Source organism: Homo sapiens, chromosome 8 (genome assembly GCF_000001405.40).
Source record: "Homo sapiens chromosome 8, GRCh38.p14 Primary Assembly".
Lineage (NCBI taxonomy): Eukaryota > Metazoa > Chordata > Mammalia > Primates > Hominidae > Homo > Homo sapiens.
The window spans coordinates 10037768-10056701 of NC_000008.11; the positions used below are offsets into that span (position 1 = coordinate 10037768).

Sequence of the window (18934 nt, forward strand, 5' to 3'; positions counted from 1 at the left end):
CTTTTTGCTATGACCAACAGCAACTCTAGAAAAAAAAGCTACTTGAGTTCTCCTGTAAGATGTGTGTTTGCCCTAAAGGCTGGTTTTCTTTTAATTTAATACAAATAAACACAGAGTTGAAAAGACAGCCTCTTTTCAAGTGCAACTTCTCCATCAGCAATGCAGTCAGCACCAGACTATGTTGACTCCATTCTTTGTGGCAGAATCGTATTCATTAGAATAAAGACTTGCTGAAACTCAGATATTTCACATATAATTCTTTGCCTTTATCTAAAAGACAGCTATCCTGCTCTTGAGGAAATTAGATTGATTGGACAGGCTGCGCTCTTCCAAAAAACCACATTTGCTGCAGTCACACTGTGATTTGGTAGGTATTTCCATAAAGCAACCAAAATATAATTTATAAGATGAGCCATTTCTTCATAACAATAGACGACGACTACATTTTCCTCTGTTTTATGTGATCTCTCAAAAGACCATAGTGGAACAATTTGCATTCCTTCAGTGTCCTGATAAATATGACACTCTGGCTTGTACTTTTGGACACATTGTAAGTACAGCAAGCTGTTAAAAAAAAACAGAGTGAACTTAAGAAACATGCAGACCTACATAAACAAAATGCTAAAATTCATTGAGGCAGGGGAAAAAAAAGACTTGAACAAGTAGAGACACATAGCACATTCACCAATAGGAAGACTAAAGATGTCCATTTTCTCCAGCTTATGACATAGCTACAAGATGATTCCAGTCAAAACCCCAAAGGATTTTGGGGGGAAATTGACAAACTCACTCAAAAATCTATCAACAAGAATGAACAGGGAGGAAGGACCAAAATAATTTTGAAAAAGAATATTAACAAAGGAATGTTTACTTCATTAGATGTCAAAATATTTTATAGAAAGCGCTCGGTTTCATTTAGGGAAATCCCATCTTTTATTTAGGTAAAGACAATAATATTTGAGCAGAAATGAGGTGAAATAGGAATATCTTTATTTTACTTTCGGACATCTCAATAAGAAAAAGTGAACCATAGCTGGCTTCTGATTGGGCTGAGATTTTTTTCCTACAAGGGTAAGTTTCATTCGAATACTCTTCCTTTGTGGACGCCATACTGTCCTTCAGAATGGTCCTTACCGATTCCATGAAAGTGACACGGAGCTTCTAACATTAATAAAGGAGCTCAGTATCTTTCCATTAGTGCATGCTTTATAATGCTAGGATGTTCAGATTGGTTCCAAGAGCAGATGGATACCGAGCATTTAAATGACAGAAAAATAAGTGTATTATTGATACCCAGAGTAACGGACAGACTTGGTTAATCATCAGAGCTGCTCCCATACACATCCTTCCTAATTTGTGGCTTCTCATTTTCATATTAACTGGAATGAATTTCTTCTAAAATGTAATAGGAAAGGAGAAGGAGAAAATGGACTTATTGACGTAAGGGGAAACAATCCCCTTCCCTGAAGAATTAGGTAGCCTTTTAATTTAAAGTTCCAGTAGATGAATAATGCTGGTATTTCCCCAGGGTGACTGTGATTGGAATTTCCACCCTGTCTGAGATCACATTTTTCATAGCTCCACACCTGCGAGCGCCCTTGTCCCGCTTCACTTTCTATCCCATTGACATGGTCGGGTCCAGGGCTCTGTGCTTCAATCAAGGCTGAAGATAAGGAGTGATGCCTAGCTCTGGACAAGGATGACACAGCACTATACCTTCAGTTACGAGAAATAAATGCAGCTAGATACACACTCAGAAAATATTTATTTTTATAACTATCCATAATGTCTTTGTGACACCAGATCTTTACCCTCTCTGGGCCTCCACTCACCCCACCCCAACTTCATTTCCAGGCTCTACAGAAAATGCTAGGCAGGTTTCTTCCTGGCCCTCCAGCCAGTTTATCTGTATATTCTTGGGTGTATATAAGAATGCATATTTATCCATTTGACATTTATTTAACACATGGCTTCCAAGTGTGGGTATCGTAACATCTTGGTCAGGAATGATCTCTTCCTCGCCATAGCATTGATGCTGATGGATTTCAAATTTACATCTTCTGCCCTGACCTCCCACTGTGTTTCAGACCTGAACAGCCTGCTGCCTAAGGAATATCAATCCCACCCCATAGGAACCCAAACGTGAATGCTTCCAAAACCAAATTTGTTGTGTTTGCTGCTTCCTAGCTGCTTTCCCTCCTCTGTGGTCTATCTCAGTGAGACACTCAGCGAATCTCAGGGACACCTGCCCCCACCTTTATAAGCCAGAAACCTGTGAATTATCCTAAACTCCTCTGTATGTGTAAGCTTTTATATCCAAGTCACAAGGACCTGTGTATTATACTTGCTCAATATTTCTCAATCCCATGCCCACTTCTCCATCTTTATTACCACTAGTTTCATCTGCAAACCCTTGTAATGTCTTGTCTGGAATATATTACTAGCCACCTAACTGACCTTCTAGTTCCTGTTGTCCATCCTTTTAACCTGATATCTTTTTGTTTTGTTTTGTTTTGAGATGGAGTCTCACTCTATTGCCCAGGCTGGAGTGCTCACTGCAACCTCCGCCTTCTCGGTTCAACCATTTCTCGTGCCTCGGCCTCCCAAGTAGCTGGGATCACAGGCATGTGCCACTGTGCCCCGCTAATTTTTTTTTGTATTTTTAGTAGAGACGGGGTTTCACCATGTTGGTTAGGCTGGTCTTGAACTCCTGACCTCAAGTGATCTGGCCTCCTCGGTCTCCCAAAGTTCTGGGATTACAGATGGGAGCCACTGCGCTCAGCCCTGATATCAATCTTGCTTTCAGGACAGTTCCCCTAAAATGTAAGTGATTTTATATAATTGCCCTATTTAAAATCCTTCAGTGGCCCCATTATCAGCAGGGCAAAAGGCCCATCCCCTGGGCTTGCCATGCACATCTCATCCTGAGCGGGCTCTTGCCCACCTTCTCAGCTGTAGCTTCCATCACTTTGCATTCACAACATCCTTTCTGTACATGCAGAATTACCCACAGGTCCCCAAATCAGCCTTGCTTTTTTTATACTTTACACTTGCATGTGTCTCCGTTAAATAGAATGCCCTTGCCCGTACCTATCCGGTGAATTCCTGTCCATTTTTCACCTTCAGCTCAAACATCACAGCCTCTCAGGAGCCTTCTCTGCCCTTCCAAGACAAAATGCACTCTTCCTTCTCTTTGTCTACTAACACTTTGTCATTCAGCGTGCTGGTAGATGTAGAATGGGCACATGTGCAGCCAGGCAAGCAAGCAGGCTCTTTATTCTCTTTGCTGTACTACTTCCTCCAACAGCCAGGCTGGAGGTAACCTTTGGCTAAGCTGGATAGGCACCTGGGAGCTTCTCTACTGACCTTGGGGCCCCCGGTTCCCCAGCTGTGATCCAACTTGGAGTAACATGACCTTGAGGATTATGCATCACACAAAGATGTGACTATTCCTGGCTTTTGCAGAAGGTAGGATACCGACTTACCTACCACTTACAGCTGCATCATCATGTGAGCTGATTCCAAAAAAGAGTTTTGACTTTATTTTTGGGTATGTTGCAAACCTCACTGGGAACTAGTGGCCATTCTCTGGTTTTCAATCTGGGGTAAAAGTCAAGGGTTTCCCCATCTCTGCCTTGACAGGTCTATTATAATACTTACCCTGTTATCATTTTGCCGGTATTCCCTGAGAACACGGGCTCTTGCATATTAATTTTTATAGCCCCCAAATCTAGGTACACTGCCTGGCATGTTAAAGGATGTTTAACAAGAATTGTATTTTATAATTATAATAAATTAATGTGATTTTTCTTACCCCACCATCGACAGCCTTTACTATGTTGCTCTTGATATTAAAGTAGCCCCGAGGTTAGAACCATAAAGATTTCTCTTGGATTTCTAATATCTACACATTACTTGGGTATCACTTCATCGCAACACATCTTGTAGGAGACACGGTGAGAAAATGACAGAACCCACGTGTATTCGGCATATATGATAATTCTATGATTGGCCACTAGTCGATGTTGTAGTTACAAGTAAAAGCCACCAGATGGCTTAAGGAAATGAATTTATTTCCAATTGAGGTTTTTAGCTTGGAAATCTGGGACCAAAAAAAGCAGTGATTGGAAAGGAACTAAACGCCTCTCTAGTGAGCCCCACATAACTAACAAAACCCACTTATCAGTATCACCTGACTTCAGCAATAGGCTTGTAGAGGTTTGGCAACCTTCAAAGGGCAAACACTAAACGGTGTATTATCCTTCTACCTTCCCGTATCTACATGCTTTAAGATTATGGAATAATTACTGAAATTCAATTCAATTCCACAAATATTTATTGAGTTAAATTAAACCTTATGAGAGGCTTACAGAAGCATATGAGGCACGAAACACAGCTTACTAAGCACAGAAAAACGTATGGTAGCCTGGAAGTAAAGATGAATTTGTTTCCTCTTTGTGTGCACTGGCGCTGGTTACCATTTCAAGGAGAAGTTCTGATGAAAAAATAATTGTGACCTAGAAAATGTCTGCATATTATCTGCAGGCAGAACGGGTAAAAGGTGAAATAAAACAAAGCAAACCTAAACAGCTATAGTGTTTATGAATCAAAATGTATTTTAGATGGCATTTACACATGAAAACCAGAGTCGAAATTATCAGATTAGATTTGAAAGTTTTAATGAGGTGATTTAAAAATAAAGCTATGTAGAAAAAGATGTGAATGATATACCCCACTGGCAGGATATATTCAAGTGGCTCTTTTGTTTTTTTACTCTAGATGCTCTGTACTGGGAGAAATTTTTGGAATATGCCTATGTTTATTATTTTGGAATGTAAAGAGTGAAATGTAAACCTAGTTAAAGGTATTTGCACTCATTTATTTGACACATATACTAGGGGTGGGTACCCTAGCTCAAAGATAGAGCCATGATTTAGAGATTCTGATTTTGAATTCTGTTAATACTGAGGTAGCAAACCTTGTTAGCCTTTTTAGTAAGTTAAAAAATTAAGTCAAGCTGTAGTGCTTGCTTTAAAAAATATATACTAAAGAGGCCTTTAGAAATATTCAATATCAGAAACCTCTGAATAAAGATTAAAGTAGGCTGGGCATGGTAGCTCATACCTGTAGGCCCAGCACTTTGGGAGGCTGAGGCGGGCGGATCACTTGAGGTCAGGAGTTCGAGACCAGCCTGACCAAAATGGTGAAACCCCATCTCTACTAAAAATACAAAAATTAGCCGGGCATGGTGGCACGTGCCTGTAATCCCAGCTACTTGCCGGGCTGAGGCAGGAGAATTGCTTGATCCCAGAAGGTGGAGGTTGCAGACAGGTGGGATCATACCACTGCAGTCTAGCCTGGGCTACAGAGCCAGACTCCATCTCCAAAAAACAACAACAACAACAACAACAAAACCAAACAAACAAACAAAAAAACAAGTTAAAGTCAGTATAAATGAATGCAGAAAAGCTTCCTCCACAATGTGGAGGGCATAACACATTTTATAATTACTAGCTAGCAATTCAAAAATATTTATTTGCTAATGAGAATTTAAGAAAAGAAACTCAATAGAGTACCAGCCCTCTTTTCAACATAAACTAAAATTGGATAATTAACTTTTAAAAGCACTAATTTCTTCTGAAGGTGTAAAAAGAAAGTTTTCTTTGATAAAGCAGAAATTTTATCTTTCTTTTCGAGGCATGAATAAATTAAAGGAGACAAAATCTAGCTTAATGGAGTAACCCAGTATTTGAGATTATAATTAAAAAGTTGTACAGGTTAACATAGCCTAATTGTTTTTTCTTTTTACCAACCTACAGCTCATGTGTACACTAATTATTTTTTGTTAAATAAAACTGTTTACATCTGGGCACTGTGGCTCATGCCTATAATCCCAGCACTTTGGGAGGCTGAGGGGGGAGGATCGCTTGACCCCAGGAGTTTGAGACCAGCCTGGACAACATAGTGAGACCCTCATCTCTACAAAAAATAAAATTATCTGGGCATGGTGGCACACACTTGTAGTCTCAGCTACTCGGGGAGATGAGGTGGGAGGATCACTTGAGTCCTGGAGGCAGAGATTGCAATAAGCTGAAACTGGATCAATGCAGTTCAGTCTGCACAACAGAGCAAGATTTTGTCTCAAAAAAAAAAATTGTTTACTTTTTGATTACATGTTCACTCTAGAAAATTTTAGAATATATTTTAAAATAGAAGAGAATAATTTTAACATTTCCAACACAAAGAAAAATGTCTGAGGTGATAGATAGCCCAATTGCCCTGATTTGATTATTACAAAGTAATACCCCGATTTGATTGTATACAAGTATCAAAATACACATGTACCCCCAAAATATGTAGAACTATTATATATAAATAATTTTAAAAAAGAGAAAATTTGAAAGTAAAAAAAAAATGGGAAAAATAAAAATTACTCTCAATCTCATTAGATAACCACTGCTGACATTTTGGGTTTTTTTTTTTTTTTTTTTTTTAGAGACAAGGGTTTCGCTTTGTTGCCTAGGCTGGCATGCAGTGGCACAATCATGGCTCACTGTAGCCTCAAACTTCTGGCTCAAGCAACCATCCCACCTCAGCCTCCTGAGTAGCTGGGACTACAGGTGTGCACCACCATGCCTGGCCAACTTTATTTTTTGTAGAGGTGGAATCTTGCTATGTTGCCCTGGTTGATCTTGAACTCCTGGCCTCAAGCAATCCTCCCATCTCAGCTTCCCAAATCATTGCATTACAGGCATGAGTCACCACGCTTAGCTGGATTATTTGCTTTAATTTTGTTGCCCATCAATCTGAATGATATTTATATAACTAGGTTGAGGGAAATTTCACCTGTTTCCCTAAAGTTGGCAAAAAGGACCCAAAGCTTAGGGCAGAGAGACATCAGCTACCTCAAGTCAAAAGAGATCTTCAAACAACTGGGGTCTAACTGCTCAGAGTCTATCAAGAAGTCAAATCTCTCCAGTGTGTATAAGGAAAAGGCTGATGGCTGGGGAGCAGGAGATGCATTGGAATCTCAAATGGTCTGCCCACTCCTCCAAAGCTAAAGGGCCTAGAATTGCCCACAGATGGGGTAGGTCTGCAAGAATGAGGAATCAGCATTATTCCCCACGGAAATTTCTACTGAAACCCCGTACCCTGTAGGTCTGCTCTGTGCTTTTCTTAGCAGGGAAAAGGAGAATGGAGACGAAGGAGGAGTGGTCCCACTGCTTGGCAAGGTGAGCAGGTATAAGCTCCCCTGGAACTAAAGGACTGGAAGCTACAGTAGCTTAGCTCAATTTACCTTGCCTCTGTAATGCTCATGAGCTCAGGATTCCTGGGGCAAGGGGTTCTGAGCAGCCAGACACTGTGGACTGTGCCTCTGGAGCAGAAGCTGCAGAACCTTTGGAGGAGGTTTCCTGGTGGTGGAGGTCCCATGTCAAGGTGCCATGCATGGGGAGGCTCGCTTGAGGGTTCACACACCCCATATGCAGGGCTCCCATGCCAGTGGCTGTGAACCTGAGAAGCCAGCAGAGCAACGCACAAGGAAGCACGCTGGCAGGCCGGTTAAGGAAAGGCCTGTTCCATTTCTTCCATCCCCCTTCCCAGGCTGCAATCCTAAAAGAGCTTAATCCCAGGGAGAAGAAAGAAGGAAAAGTAGATCTCCTCCCAATTTGTGTCTTTCAGGAGGGAAGCGGGATCCATGCTGGGCTGGGAGTGGGGAACGGAGTGAGTATTAAAGTAGACCCGAGTGAAGTCTCTAAGTATAGACCAAACTGGACCGTGCTTTTCATCCCTGGAAATGAGCAGGAAGCTAGGGGTACCCTCCATACATCTGGAAGGGGTGGGACGGGAGATCTGATCTACTGCAATAGAAGGTCGTTGATGTTTTCCTCTTTATACTTAGTGTTCTCAAAGAATGATACTATTTTTAAAATTAGAAAGCAAAAAATTTAATTAGCTGGCTTATATGTCCTGAGTCCAGGCTATTTCATAAGTGAATTATGAAACTATTATTTTTTTCTGAATTGAAAAATAAATGATTATAAAAGAAAAAATTAAGAAAAAAGTGAAAGTTATCTATATTTCTACCATCAGAGACAACTGCTGTTAACAGCCTGGATATATTCTTTCAGGCTTTTTCTATTCTCTTTTACACACACACACACACACACACACGTGTGTGCATGCACACTTAATAAGACCTAAAATAACTGCATTTTGTTAAAGTTACATGTTGAAGGAAAAAAGTCTACTGTCCATGTACTCTGGAGGCAAACATGTCCCCAAGAAAGATAAGATTAAGGGACTGAGTTATTTTCGTACAGGTAGTTAACAGAATTATCATTGATAAATATCAGTGAAATAAGTTATCTGATAATTAAGTTTTAAACGAATCAACATAAAGCAGTTTTAAATGAGATAATCCCATACGATTCACTGCTTCATTCATTCAACCCACAACTTACTGAGAGTCTACTATGTGCCTAGGGGTATCGTTTTCTGCATTAAGAATCAGTCTAATTTATCAAAGCTGGATGACTTTGCAATACACCTTTAGACTCTGGGTGAAGTTGATGAACAACCTATTAACTGACAGATCTACCAAATGCCCTCTCAGCTTAAAAAGTTGGTGATTCACGCCAGGCACGGTAGCCCATATCTGAAATGTCAGCACTTTGGGAGGCCAAGGCCGTAGGGTTTCTTGAGGCCTGGAGTTTGAGACCAGCCTGGGCAATGTAGTGAGACTCTTTCTCTAAGATAAAATAAAATAAAATAAAATAAAATAAAATAAAATAAAATAAAATAAAATAAAATAAAATAGCTGGTGAACCAAGGAATTTAGAGAATTTCTGATTTTTTCCGCGCTGCCCCCTGAATTTCACAGAAGAGAAAAATAAAGAGACACAAAATAACTTGTCAAAGGTCACAGAACTGGTTAATCTAAAACTAGATTACAATCCAGGCCACCTCTTGGATACTCATTCACCTCCCCATTTGTTCATTTACTCAACAAATGTTTTTTATGTCCTACAATGGAAGTCCAGTGCTCTTGGCTTGTCATGTCTTTATAATAAAGACAATCATCATCACCATAACTGTTATTAGGCAGTATGTTAAGTGTATTCACTTGGATTACCATGTTTCACGGTCATAAATGTTTAGTAAGTAGTTAGAAAAGATAAGGTTGACAAATAACAGTATTTACAAAACTAAATTCTACCTGTGTCCTTTGTGGGGGTGTACAGGGGGGAGGTCTCTGTGATGTAAGTCTGAAAGGTGTGTATGTATGAAGGAGTTTAGTTCATATACTAATCAGAGAACACTTAGATAACAGAATAAGAGACTAGGAACCCAATTTGCATAGAGGCCACTAGACATCCTGGAGAATGGATGAGGAAGACTTAGGGCCTTTAGTGATTCATGCACCCACTCAGCCAGCAGTGAATGAAAGCTTACTATTGGGATATAATAATAAGCAAAATATGGACACAATTCCTTCTGGCATGGAGCTTACTGTCCAGAGGAGGAGATCGATTTCAAACAATCACACAAATAATTGTGTATTATAATCCTAGCTAACATGCACTGAGGGCTTCCTATGTGTCCAGCACTATTCTAGGCACTTACCCCATGTTATTTAATCCTCGCCAATAAAAAAACAAAAAGAAAAAACCTGTGAGGTTGGTGCTGATATTATTACCCCCAGTGATGTTTCTTTTTTCTTTTTCCTTTTTTTTTGAGACCGAGTCTTACTCTGTTGCCAGGCTGGAGTGCAGTGGCACAATCTTGGCTCACTGCAACCTCCGCCTCCTGGGTTCAAGCGATTCTCCTGCCTCAGCCTTCCAAGTAGCTGGGACCACAGGTGCACACCACCACACCCAGCTAGTTTTTGTATTTTTAGTAGAGACGGGATTTCACCATGTTGGCCAGCATGGTCTCTATCTCTTGACCTTGTGATCCACCTGCCTCGGCCTCCCAAAGTGTTGGGATTACAGGTGTGAGCCACCGCGCCTGGCCCCCCAGTGATGTTTCTGATGAGAGCTCTGAAGGAAAAATGCATGGTGATAGGAAGTCATTTATTGGGGGAGTCTAATCCGGCCTGCGGTGGAGGAAGACAGAGAAAGAGACACCCTCTCTAACAAGGGTGAGGAAGGTTGTCAAGGGCTGCCCCATCTTCTGAGGTGGGCAGGGTACTCACCAAACAGCAGGGAAGTGCTGAAAGAGTATTGATTGGGGTACTGGGGAGTCATTAGTAGTAGGCAAGGGAGTGAAAAAGGAATTAAGTACTTACTACTACCTCTATGCCAGTCTGTGCAGTGCTGAACCCTGTCCCTAAATTATTTTCTCACCCAGTCTGGGGGTTGTGATCCTGAATTCCTTGGGGCGGGGGGAGACGCTCAGAGAGAAAATGCACCAGGCTACCTGTGGGGGAGTCTGATTAAAGCAGGGGGACCCTGAACCCCAGGGAATGGCCACAGCATGGAGTCAGCAGTGCCAGGTGCTCTGATGGGGGCAGTGCAGGGACACTGGTGACAGCTGAGGCAAGCTCACCAGGCACACAAGAAACAAGTGCAGAGCTGTCTCTCACTGGACACTTCCAAAGGACTTGGGCTTTTTTTTTCTAATTTTCAAAATATATTTTATTTCTTTCTTATATGTATTTTGCAACATTTCCAAGGTAAACATCAGCTTCATATACAGAAATAAAAGAGTTCTTTAAGAACTGGCATTGAATTAATCACAAGAATGATCAAATTATAATGGGAAACAAACTTGCCTATTACCAAAGCTAATGAGCTGAAGTGAAGAGCTGTCTTTACAAAGCTCTCATTGAGCCCCCTGCCCTGCAGCTGACTCAAGCCGTCATCACATATGTACATGTATAAGAAAGGACATTGGCACAGTACAGCAGCTTTGCAACCTCCAAAAGTATTTTGGTTTTAGTTCCCAGGAGTACATCCACAGGTATTTGGTGCTTTGCCCTATTGACTTTGATGGGTCAGTTTTGAAGTTTGATTAAGAACACGTTCTCTTGGAATGTGCTAAATTTTCAATTAATGGTACTAAATATGCAAAGACATGTCATATAGCCTCTACATTTCTGCATCATTTTCAACTTATACACTTGAAAGTTTTCCTGTACATTCTCCTACAGCATCTTTGATATTTTTTGGTTTCCAGATAGTCTGCTTGTCACCTCCTGTGTGTACTGACTGCGGAGCACTGCTACCCCTCAAAATGTTAAGATTCCCCTGTGAGGGTTTTTGTTTTGTGCTTTACCCTCTCCACAGCTTTTGATCTGATTCAGTAACATGGTTGGTCTATGAAGAGCAATGACTAAAAAAAAAATAATAATAATCAGAGCTTAATGTGATGTAGATTTCAAAAAAAAATGTTAAAGGTTTTAGTTGTAATTTCTGAAAATCATAGACTATCGCAAAGAGAAGTTTTTATTCAGGTTCTAGAATTTAGATTTTGAGGGTCCAACAGATTCTATCAGGTGCTGTTGAATATCCTGTATTTCCTAGCTCTTCCCATGGTTTCTGGTTATGTTCCAAACTTCTTTATATTCAGCAATGATAGCTTCAACACTGAGCTAAGTTTTAGTTTTGGATTCAGTGTGCAATCCGGAATGGGTGAAGGCAGCTGAGAACAATCACAGATTCTGGGGCTCTAGAGGCATGTTTATTGAGGGCCAGGATATTGGGTGTGGGTTCCACCAGAACAATAAATCTCAAAGTTTGCTGCCTGGACCAGCAGCGTCAGCATCACCTAGGAATTTGTCAGAAATGCAAAGTTTCAGGGCTAACTCAAACTACTTGATCAGAAACTCTAGGATGGGACCAGGCAATCTGTTTTAATAAACCCTCCATGTGATTCTGGTGTATGCCGATGTCTAAGAACCATTGAGCCACTCAAAACCCTAGTGGCTTACACACAATAAAAGCTCCATTTCTCACTGTCTCAGTCTATCAGGCTGCTATAAAAGAGTCCCACAGACTGGGCAGTTTAGAAACAACAGAAGAGTTTTGAAGTTTAGAAGCCACTGAACTGCCTTTGCACCTTGGTTGAAAATAAACTGACCATGTGTGTGCAAGGTTTTTTTTTTTTTTTTTTTTAACTGTTTTGTTCCATTAACCTATGTCTCTTGTGGTCAACACCACACTTTCCTGGATATCATAGCTTTATAGCAAATCTTGAACTCAGGTAGCCTCCTGCTGTCCTATGGAGGTGGAGGGAGGGAGGATGGGAAGACCTATGAGTACTGACTCAAAGTGGAGAAATGTCTTAACAACTCTCCTGCACCCTGTCCCCCAATACAGAGGCCTCCAAATGAAGGTTTCTGGGCTCAAAATGCAGATATAATGATAAGCATGGCTGGCCTGGGGTAAGGCCTGAGTCCTTGACTGCAACTTCCTTCAGAGACTGCAGTTCACTGCCTGTGCTCTACATCTGGTGTGAGTAGGGCAGCTTTCCCCTCTAAGGTCTGCTAGGCAAAGCCTTTACAATTGCCATGGTCAGCCGTGATTTTGGACTGGAACTGGACTTCTCAGTTTTTGGCTGTAGTAGGTCCTCTGCATTTGCATCTGAGTTTTAGAATAAGCTTGCCAATTTCTACTAAAAAACCTGCTGGAATTTTCATTGAGACAGTGTTGAATCTATAGGTCATTTTGGAGAGCACTGGCATTTAACAATACTGAGGCTTCGGATCCACCTACATGGTATAGCTCCACATTTATTTAGGTCTTTTACATTTCTCTTAGCAATGTTTTGCGGTTTTGATGTGCAGGTCTAACATATCTTCAGTCAGATACAAATTTTAAATATTTTTGATGTTAATAAATAAGTAGTATTTTTAAAATTTTGATTTCCATTATTTTGTCTTATAGAAATACGATTTTTGCATATAGATTTTGTAGCTGCAATGTTGCTAAACCAGTATTAGCTCCAGATTTTCTGTAGAGACCATGACATTAACCTAAATTATGTGGTATTAATTAACTGACAGGCAGCACAGGTATTACAGGTGAAAAGCTGGTGACCAAGCCCCTCCTTTTTTTTTTCCCCCGCCACAAGACATTTGATAAAATTGTCAACTCAGTACCTTAGCAGGCAGACTACCTGCTCTTTGAATCTGTAGTAGCAGGGAAAATGGTTGGGAGTGAATCTCTGGGTCAGTGAGACAGTACTGCCTTCTTCCTGTCTCTTTAGCAAAGTACTTTGAGAAAGATGAACTCAGGTAAAAACTAGTCATTTTGTTAACAGAGCTGGAAGGAAATAAAGTCATACTAAGATGGAGTTCTCTGCCTGTAGTCTGCAATACAAATTGACTGAGTGGTGATTTCAAGCCTTCTAGTTCTGATAAAGCCAAAAGCTATTACACTTCTGACAGTGTAAGATAAAACTGTGACCCAAGGCACTTCTCAAAGGCCATCAGCAAAGTGTTCTCTGCTGGACAGTGGAACCCAGACAAGCAATAGAGGTCATATTAAGGGCACTGCCTTCCTAACCATGACTGCTGTTTTTGCTGGGTGCAAGCATATAGCCACTAAGTTAGTAGGTACAGGAGATATGAGAGAGTCTCGTAAATAAAAATGAAGAGTAGTTAGGCATAAGAAATATGACTAATTGAGATCTCTATCTGTGGTTATTTGTAAAAGGAACTATACAAGGAACAAACAGATAAGAAATCCATTCGGTATCTTTTAAAAATTGAATTGACAAAGAAGCTATTAAGCCTAGCTTGCCAATGCCTGTGTCTATCTGACCCTACTAAAGTAACCCACAGTCCCTCAAAAGCGCACCAGTAAGAAACTGGATATAAAAAGATGTGTAGCCTCTCATGGAGCACACTCTTTAGCATGCCCTTCAGATGGAATCATAGATCATGGGTAAGAACCTCCCAATGGGTAAAGACAGTACCTTTGGATGCAACAAACCAGAGTTCCTCCTGGAAAACAGAACTGGGGTCTAACCAAGAATTTACTTCATTACCTTTGTAGTCTAATCTGCTCTTCACATTCGCTTAGACAAAGAACTACTATTTTGTCCTCACTCTTCTTCCAAATTAGTTTTCGTGCCCTACTTCACCACTGCATACTGGCTGTGTGGGGAAGAGAAAGGGGAATAAATAACATAATTTACTCTGTAGGTCATTGGACCATGAGGAGTTATATCAGACTTGTAAGGGACTGTTACATCTTTAGATCATGGACGCTGAGCTGGATGCAGTAACTGCTTAGAATGCTGGGTTTTCTCTCTTCAAACAGGGTGTGTTCTATGTGTCACAAGGGTATCCATGGATATTTGAGGGGCCAGAGGAGTAGATTGTGTCACAGTTGTCCAAAGAACATTCCTGTTTTATTATTAGAACTGCCAAATATCCAAGTATTAGTTGTATCTATAGTCACTCCGCAAGAGAACCTCATCTCCCACCTTCCCAAGTTAGATGTGGCTGTCAGATCAACAGCGACATTAGATTCTCATCAGAGGACAAACCCTATCGTGAACTGTGCATGTGAGGGATCTAGGCTGCACACACCTCATGAGAAGCTAACTAATGCCTGATGATCTGAGGTGGAACAGTTTCACCCCGAAACCATCCCCCATCTCCCCTTCCCCATCTGTGGAAAAAAACTGTCTTCCACGAAACTCGTCCACGGTGCCAAAAAGGTGGGGGACCGCTGGATTAGGGGGAATGTCTGAAGAAAAGGAAGTCCTAGTGGTGAAAAAGGCACCACTGAAGGCAAAAATGTTCAATTCTTTCCTCAAAACACCAAAGAAACTAATATAACTTTTCTTGCAGCTATTCTGGTAAACGAAAAACCCTTGTTTTTGAAATAAGATATATCTGTTCTTTAAAAATGCTTATTCTTTTATAATTATAAAAGTAACAGCCATTGGAATACTCGAGAACGTTGTAACAATACAGAACACTTAAAACAGTTTAAAGACAATGAAAAGCAGTAGAATCCCACTATTCTGAACAAAAAAAATTGCATTTTTTTCGAATTGTTCAGTGGCTGTGCAACTGGGAGTACATGCATTTTCATATATACTACATGTATACACGCACACTGCATTTGTTTTACTTTTTCATTTAACATCAAAATTAATTTTTTTTTTTTGAGACAAGGTCTTGCTCTGTTGCCCGGGCTGGAGCACAGCAGTGTGATCATAGCTCACTGCAGCCTCTACCTCTCTGGCTCCAGCGTTCCTCCTGGTGCAGCCTCCCAAGTAGTTGGGACCACAGGTGTGCGCTACCACACCACCATGCCCAACTACTTAAATACCTTTTTTTTTTTTTTTTTTGGTAAAGATGGCGTCTCAAACTCCTGGCCTCCAGCAATCCTCCTGCCTCAGCCTCTCAAAGTGTTGGGATTACAGGAGTGAGCCATCATGCCAAGTAAGTTATTTCTTCACACTAAACATTCTTCAGCTCTTAGTTGCAGAGTATTTCTAGCATGTGAAACTTCATACAATCAACCACAAAACACAGACAAATCAGTATGTATCAAAAAGAAGTAACTGAAAAACACAAAATATTGTCTTTGACAGAATGACTATTTTTTCAGACCCTTAATAGTGACCAGGCCTTCGCAAGCCTAGAAGGGACTCCTGGGGGTGTTTTCATGAAAGGCCTGTGGAACCGACTTGGTATAGCCTCATAGCAATAACAAACAGTTTAGGTATCATTTTGTCCAGGGGAAATACAAATTACAAAATCAAAGCTAGAGCCTTTTTAGTGTTGTATGCCTGGCAACACACCTCATTCTACACTATAGCACTGCTAAGCCTCCTGCCCTCCTTACAGTCCAGACCACATGAAAACAAAGTGGTAACTAAATCCATGCAAGAAGCTGGGTGAAAGCCTCCTTTCTGTGGGTGCTAATCTGAAGTTCCCTCCCTCATCTGAGACGACCTGCCCATTTTGGCAGAACATGTGTTAAGCCAAAATCTCACACAGATGAACTCCCAAGTCACTCACCTCGCTCCAACCACTTTACATTTAGTTTGAGAATGTCACAGGAACAAATGTCATCTCCTATGATTTGAGAAACAAGAATAATACAACACCACCATTAAGTCCACCTACACTGCCTTAATGGTGCTGTTGGTGCCTTGCTCCCGTATTTTGGCCGCTGCAAAATGGGCTTAAATATGTTTGTAAATACATAACTTAATATTGAATTCATCTTCCCTATTCCGCGCATTTTGAGAACTGTGCTTAGTTTTCACTTTGGACGAATAGCAACCCTTCTGATGGCCGTCATGACAATGTCTCCAATAAAAACTGACAGTCTAGCTGGCTGCAAGGCAGGTCCTCTTCTATCTTACTGGGCACTGCTAAACTGCGAAGTCGGGGCGACACGGCAGCAACTTTAAAATCAAACCGCATCCCCAAGGGCTCGGCGTGTTTTTTGGCCTCTGCAGCTTCACGTACTTCGTACGACAGGAGCGCACTTGTTCTCTGTCCGAGAACTTCGTCCCGAGAGAACCTCAGGAACTCGCCGGGCCACACCCCCTGTCCAGGGAAGGAACACGCCCCCGGTGACAGCCGGTACGGCCCCGGGTTTGGGCAACCTCGATTACGGGCGGCCTCCAGCCCCGCCAGCAGCGCCCCGCGCCCGCCCGCCCGCGCCCCTGCCGCCCCCCGGTTCCGGCCGCGGACCCCACTCTCTGCCGTTCCGGCTGCGGCTCCGCTGCCGGTAGCGCCGTCCCCCGGGACCACCCTTCGGCTGGCGCCCTCCCATGCTCTCGGCCACCCGGAGGGCTTGCCAGCTCCTCCTCCTCCACAGCCTCTTTCCCGTCCCGAGGATGGGCAACTCGGCCTCGAACATCGTCAGCCCCCAGGAGGCCTTGCCGGGCCGGAAGGAACAGACCCCTGTAGCGGGTAAGCACTGGCCACACGGAAGGCGCGGGCGGCGACGCTGCGCATGCGCGCCTTTGCCCGGCGGCAGCGCGCCCGCTGCCCGGAAGGAAGCCGTGGGCTGGCCTCGGGCGGGTCGCGGGGTGGGGGTCTGCGCAGGCGCGAAGGGGCGCCGGCAGTGGCCGGGGAGACGCTGGGGTCCACTGACGTCCCTTTGTCTTTGTTTGGCTCGTCATCTTCTGGAGCCAAACTGGGCATTCTGAAGGAATCTAGTGCATCGGTCTCACTTACCCGGAGTGCATACCGTCGCGGCCCCAAGTTTTGGGCAGGAAATGTGCCGCTGGGGTCTGGCCTTGCTCGCGGGCGCCCGCGGCGCTGTGCCTGCGCCCTCCTTTCTTGTCTCCTCTGCGCCGGCCGCCGGGACCCAGGGCACCTGCAGCGGGGCTGGTGCGAGTGTTGTCCCGGGAAATGCCGGAATGAGACGAGACGATGAAAACCTTAAGTGTGGAACTGCGTCTCAGGCCAGTGTTCTGGCTGAGTCACCCCTAGTCACCCCTCGTGCCCTAGGTCGGCCCCGCTGTCCCCAGGGGCAGGGGCTGCCGTATGCTGGGTCAGCTTAAAGCGATGCTCCACAAACTTGGACAACTTTCTAGTCGTTCTCACATCAGTACTTTGGGAAAATACAATAAGGGTGAAATACTAGAAAAATGTTCACGTGCTTCGATGCCATGTAATGGTAAACTGCTATAAAAGTTTTCAAAATCTTGGCAATTTCTGCTGCAGACAGCACGCGTTTCCCAGAACGAGGGCCACACGTTAATATTACCTTAGTGCAGCGCTTCTCAGAGTGCCCCCACCTGCCGCAGCAGCAGCAGCATCACCACCTGGGTGGGCGTTCCCCCATTACTGAATCGGAGACTCTGGGGGTGGAGCCCAACAATCTCTAAAACAAGTCCTCCAGGTGATTGTAATGTACGCTGTAGCTTGTAAACCACTGCCTTAGAGCTGTTGGAGGATTAAGTGATGTTTAATCTACACATGGCTCAATGCCAGAGAAATTCAGCATTTAAAAAATTTCCTTAGAAGTTTCTTTTTCTTTTCCTTCAAGAATTGTTGAGGATAGGAGGAGGTCATATTGAGAGTTTGTCATCTCGTAGAATAATCAGTATGAGATTAGAAAAGGTAGAGGTTTTTTGGATTAGAGGCAGTTTAGAAATCGTGTGACTGGCTTATTATTAATCGAATTAGCAGTTTCTGTTTCCTGGTTTCCCCATCATTTCACCTGCTACTCAGCCGTAAAAGTTTATTTTTGATTCAAATGCAGAGATTGAGTTTTGAAACAAATCTAGATTAGTAAACATCTATACTTATATATAGATTTATAAAATATAACCAGATTATCTAAAACTTATAAATGCATCTTAAAATTTTTTCTTTCTTTTACAGGCAGGAATTTATACGTGCATGTTTAAAGGCGATACTTTTCAAATGCCAGACTTCCTCAGCTTGTGCTATACTTCCCGTTCACACACTGCCGTGTCTTTGCTATGCCCTCCCATACACCAAAAAAAAAAAAAAAAAAAAAAACCCCAAATAATCCAAAAACTCTTGTTCAGATTTCCAAACTGGTTCAAGGTCAAGATGGACCAAAATTTACTTTGGCTTTATCTTAACCAAAGTCTTCCCAATCAGTTTCCTAATATGTAAATGACATTTTTGGTAAAAGATGAGCAAACATTTCAGAAATGAGCCAACAATTTTTTTCTTATCCCCATCATAACTTTTAACTGCAAAACCTCAGGACCTGGTTCTTTTCCAGGCTCTGCTGTCTCCATATAGCTGTGAGTGTTTTTGGTACACCAACACATCTCTGTATCTGGGCCAGTAAACTTTTTTTTTTTTTTTTTGGTGTAGGGCCAAGCCTACAATGCATATGTCCTTATTGTTCATCTATTGTAACTTTTTCCACAAAAAGTGTGTGAAATTTAGATTGTGGACGTTCCAGTCTCCACTTCTGAGCCTTGAGAGGTTGCTGAAAGCCCTGACTGGCTCCAGAAATGGGCAGTG

General features: G+C 42.3%; 1 protein-coding gene and 1 long non-coding RNA gene across 6 annotated transcripts in view, besides 3 other annotated features; one reads left to right on the forward strand and one right to left on the reverse strand.

Annotated features, from left to right (window-relative positions):
* Positions 1 to 62: 62 nt before the first annotated feature.
* On the reverse strand, positions 63 to 15295 carry MSRA-DT (MSRA divergent transcript). The gene is made up of 2 exons (XR_002956686.1): positions 13993 to 15295; positions 63 to 564 (listed from the first exon to the last, which is right to left on the reverse strand). It is a non-coding gene; the product is annotated as an MSRA divergent transcript (long non-coding RNA).
* Positions 16525 to 18934, forward strand: part of MSRA (methionine sulfoxide reductase A) — a 374600-nt gene continuing 372190 nt past the window's right edge. For all 5 annotated transcript variants that reach the window (NM_012331.5, NM_001135670.3, XM_011543822.3 and 2 more), the window contains exon 1: positions 16525 to 16891. In NM_012331.5, the coding sequence (NP_036463.1) occupies positions 16750 to 16891 (142 nt within the window). In that variant the 5' untranslated portion in view covers positions 16525 to 16749. The remainder of the gene's footprint in view (positions 16892 to 18934) is intronic.
* Positions 16605 to 16714: a silencer, noted in NCBI's record as "silent region_18909". NCBI's record gives its function as "represses an Ori minimal core promoter by ATAC-STARR-seq in GM12878 lymphoblastoid cells {active_cell/tissue: GM12878}" and the evidence as "EXISTENCE:reporter gene assay evidence [ECO:0000049][PMID:35858748]".
* Positions 16925 to 17194: a silencer, noted in NCBI's record as "silent region_18910". NCBI's record gives its function as "represses an Ori minimal core promoter by ATAC-STARR-seq in GM12878 lymphoblastoid cells {active_cell/tissue: GM12878}" and the evidence as "EXISTENCE:reporter gene assay evidence [ECO:0000049][PMID:35858748]".
* Positions 17342 to 17928: an enhancer, noted in NCBI's record as "NANOG-H3K27ac-H3K4me1 hESC enhancer chr8:9912619-9913205 (GRCh37/hg19 assembly coordinates)". NCBI's record gives its function as "activates a minimal SCP1, AML or CMV promoter by ChIP-STARR-seq in primed H9 embryonic stem cells {active_cell/tissue: H9 hESC(primed)}" and the evidence as "EXISTENCE:reporter gene assay evidence [ECO:0000049][PMID:30033119]".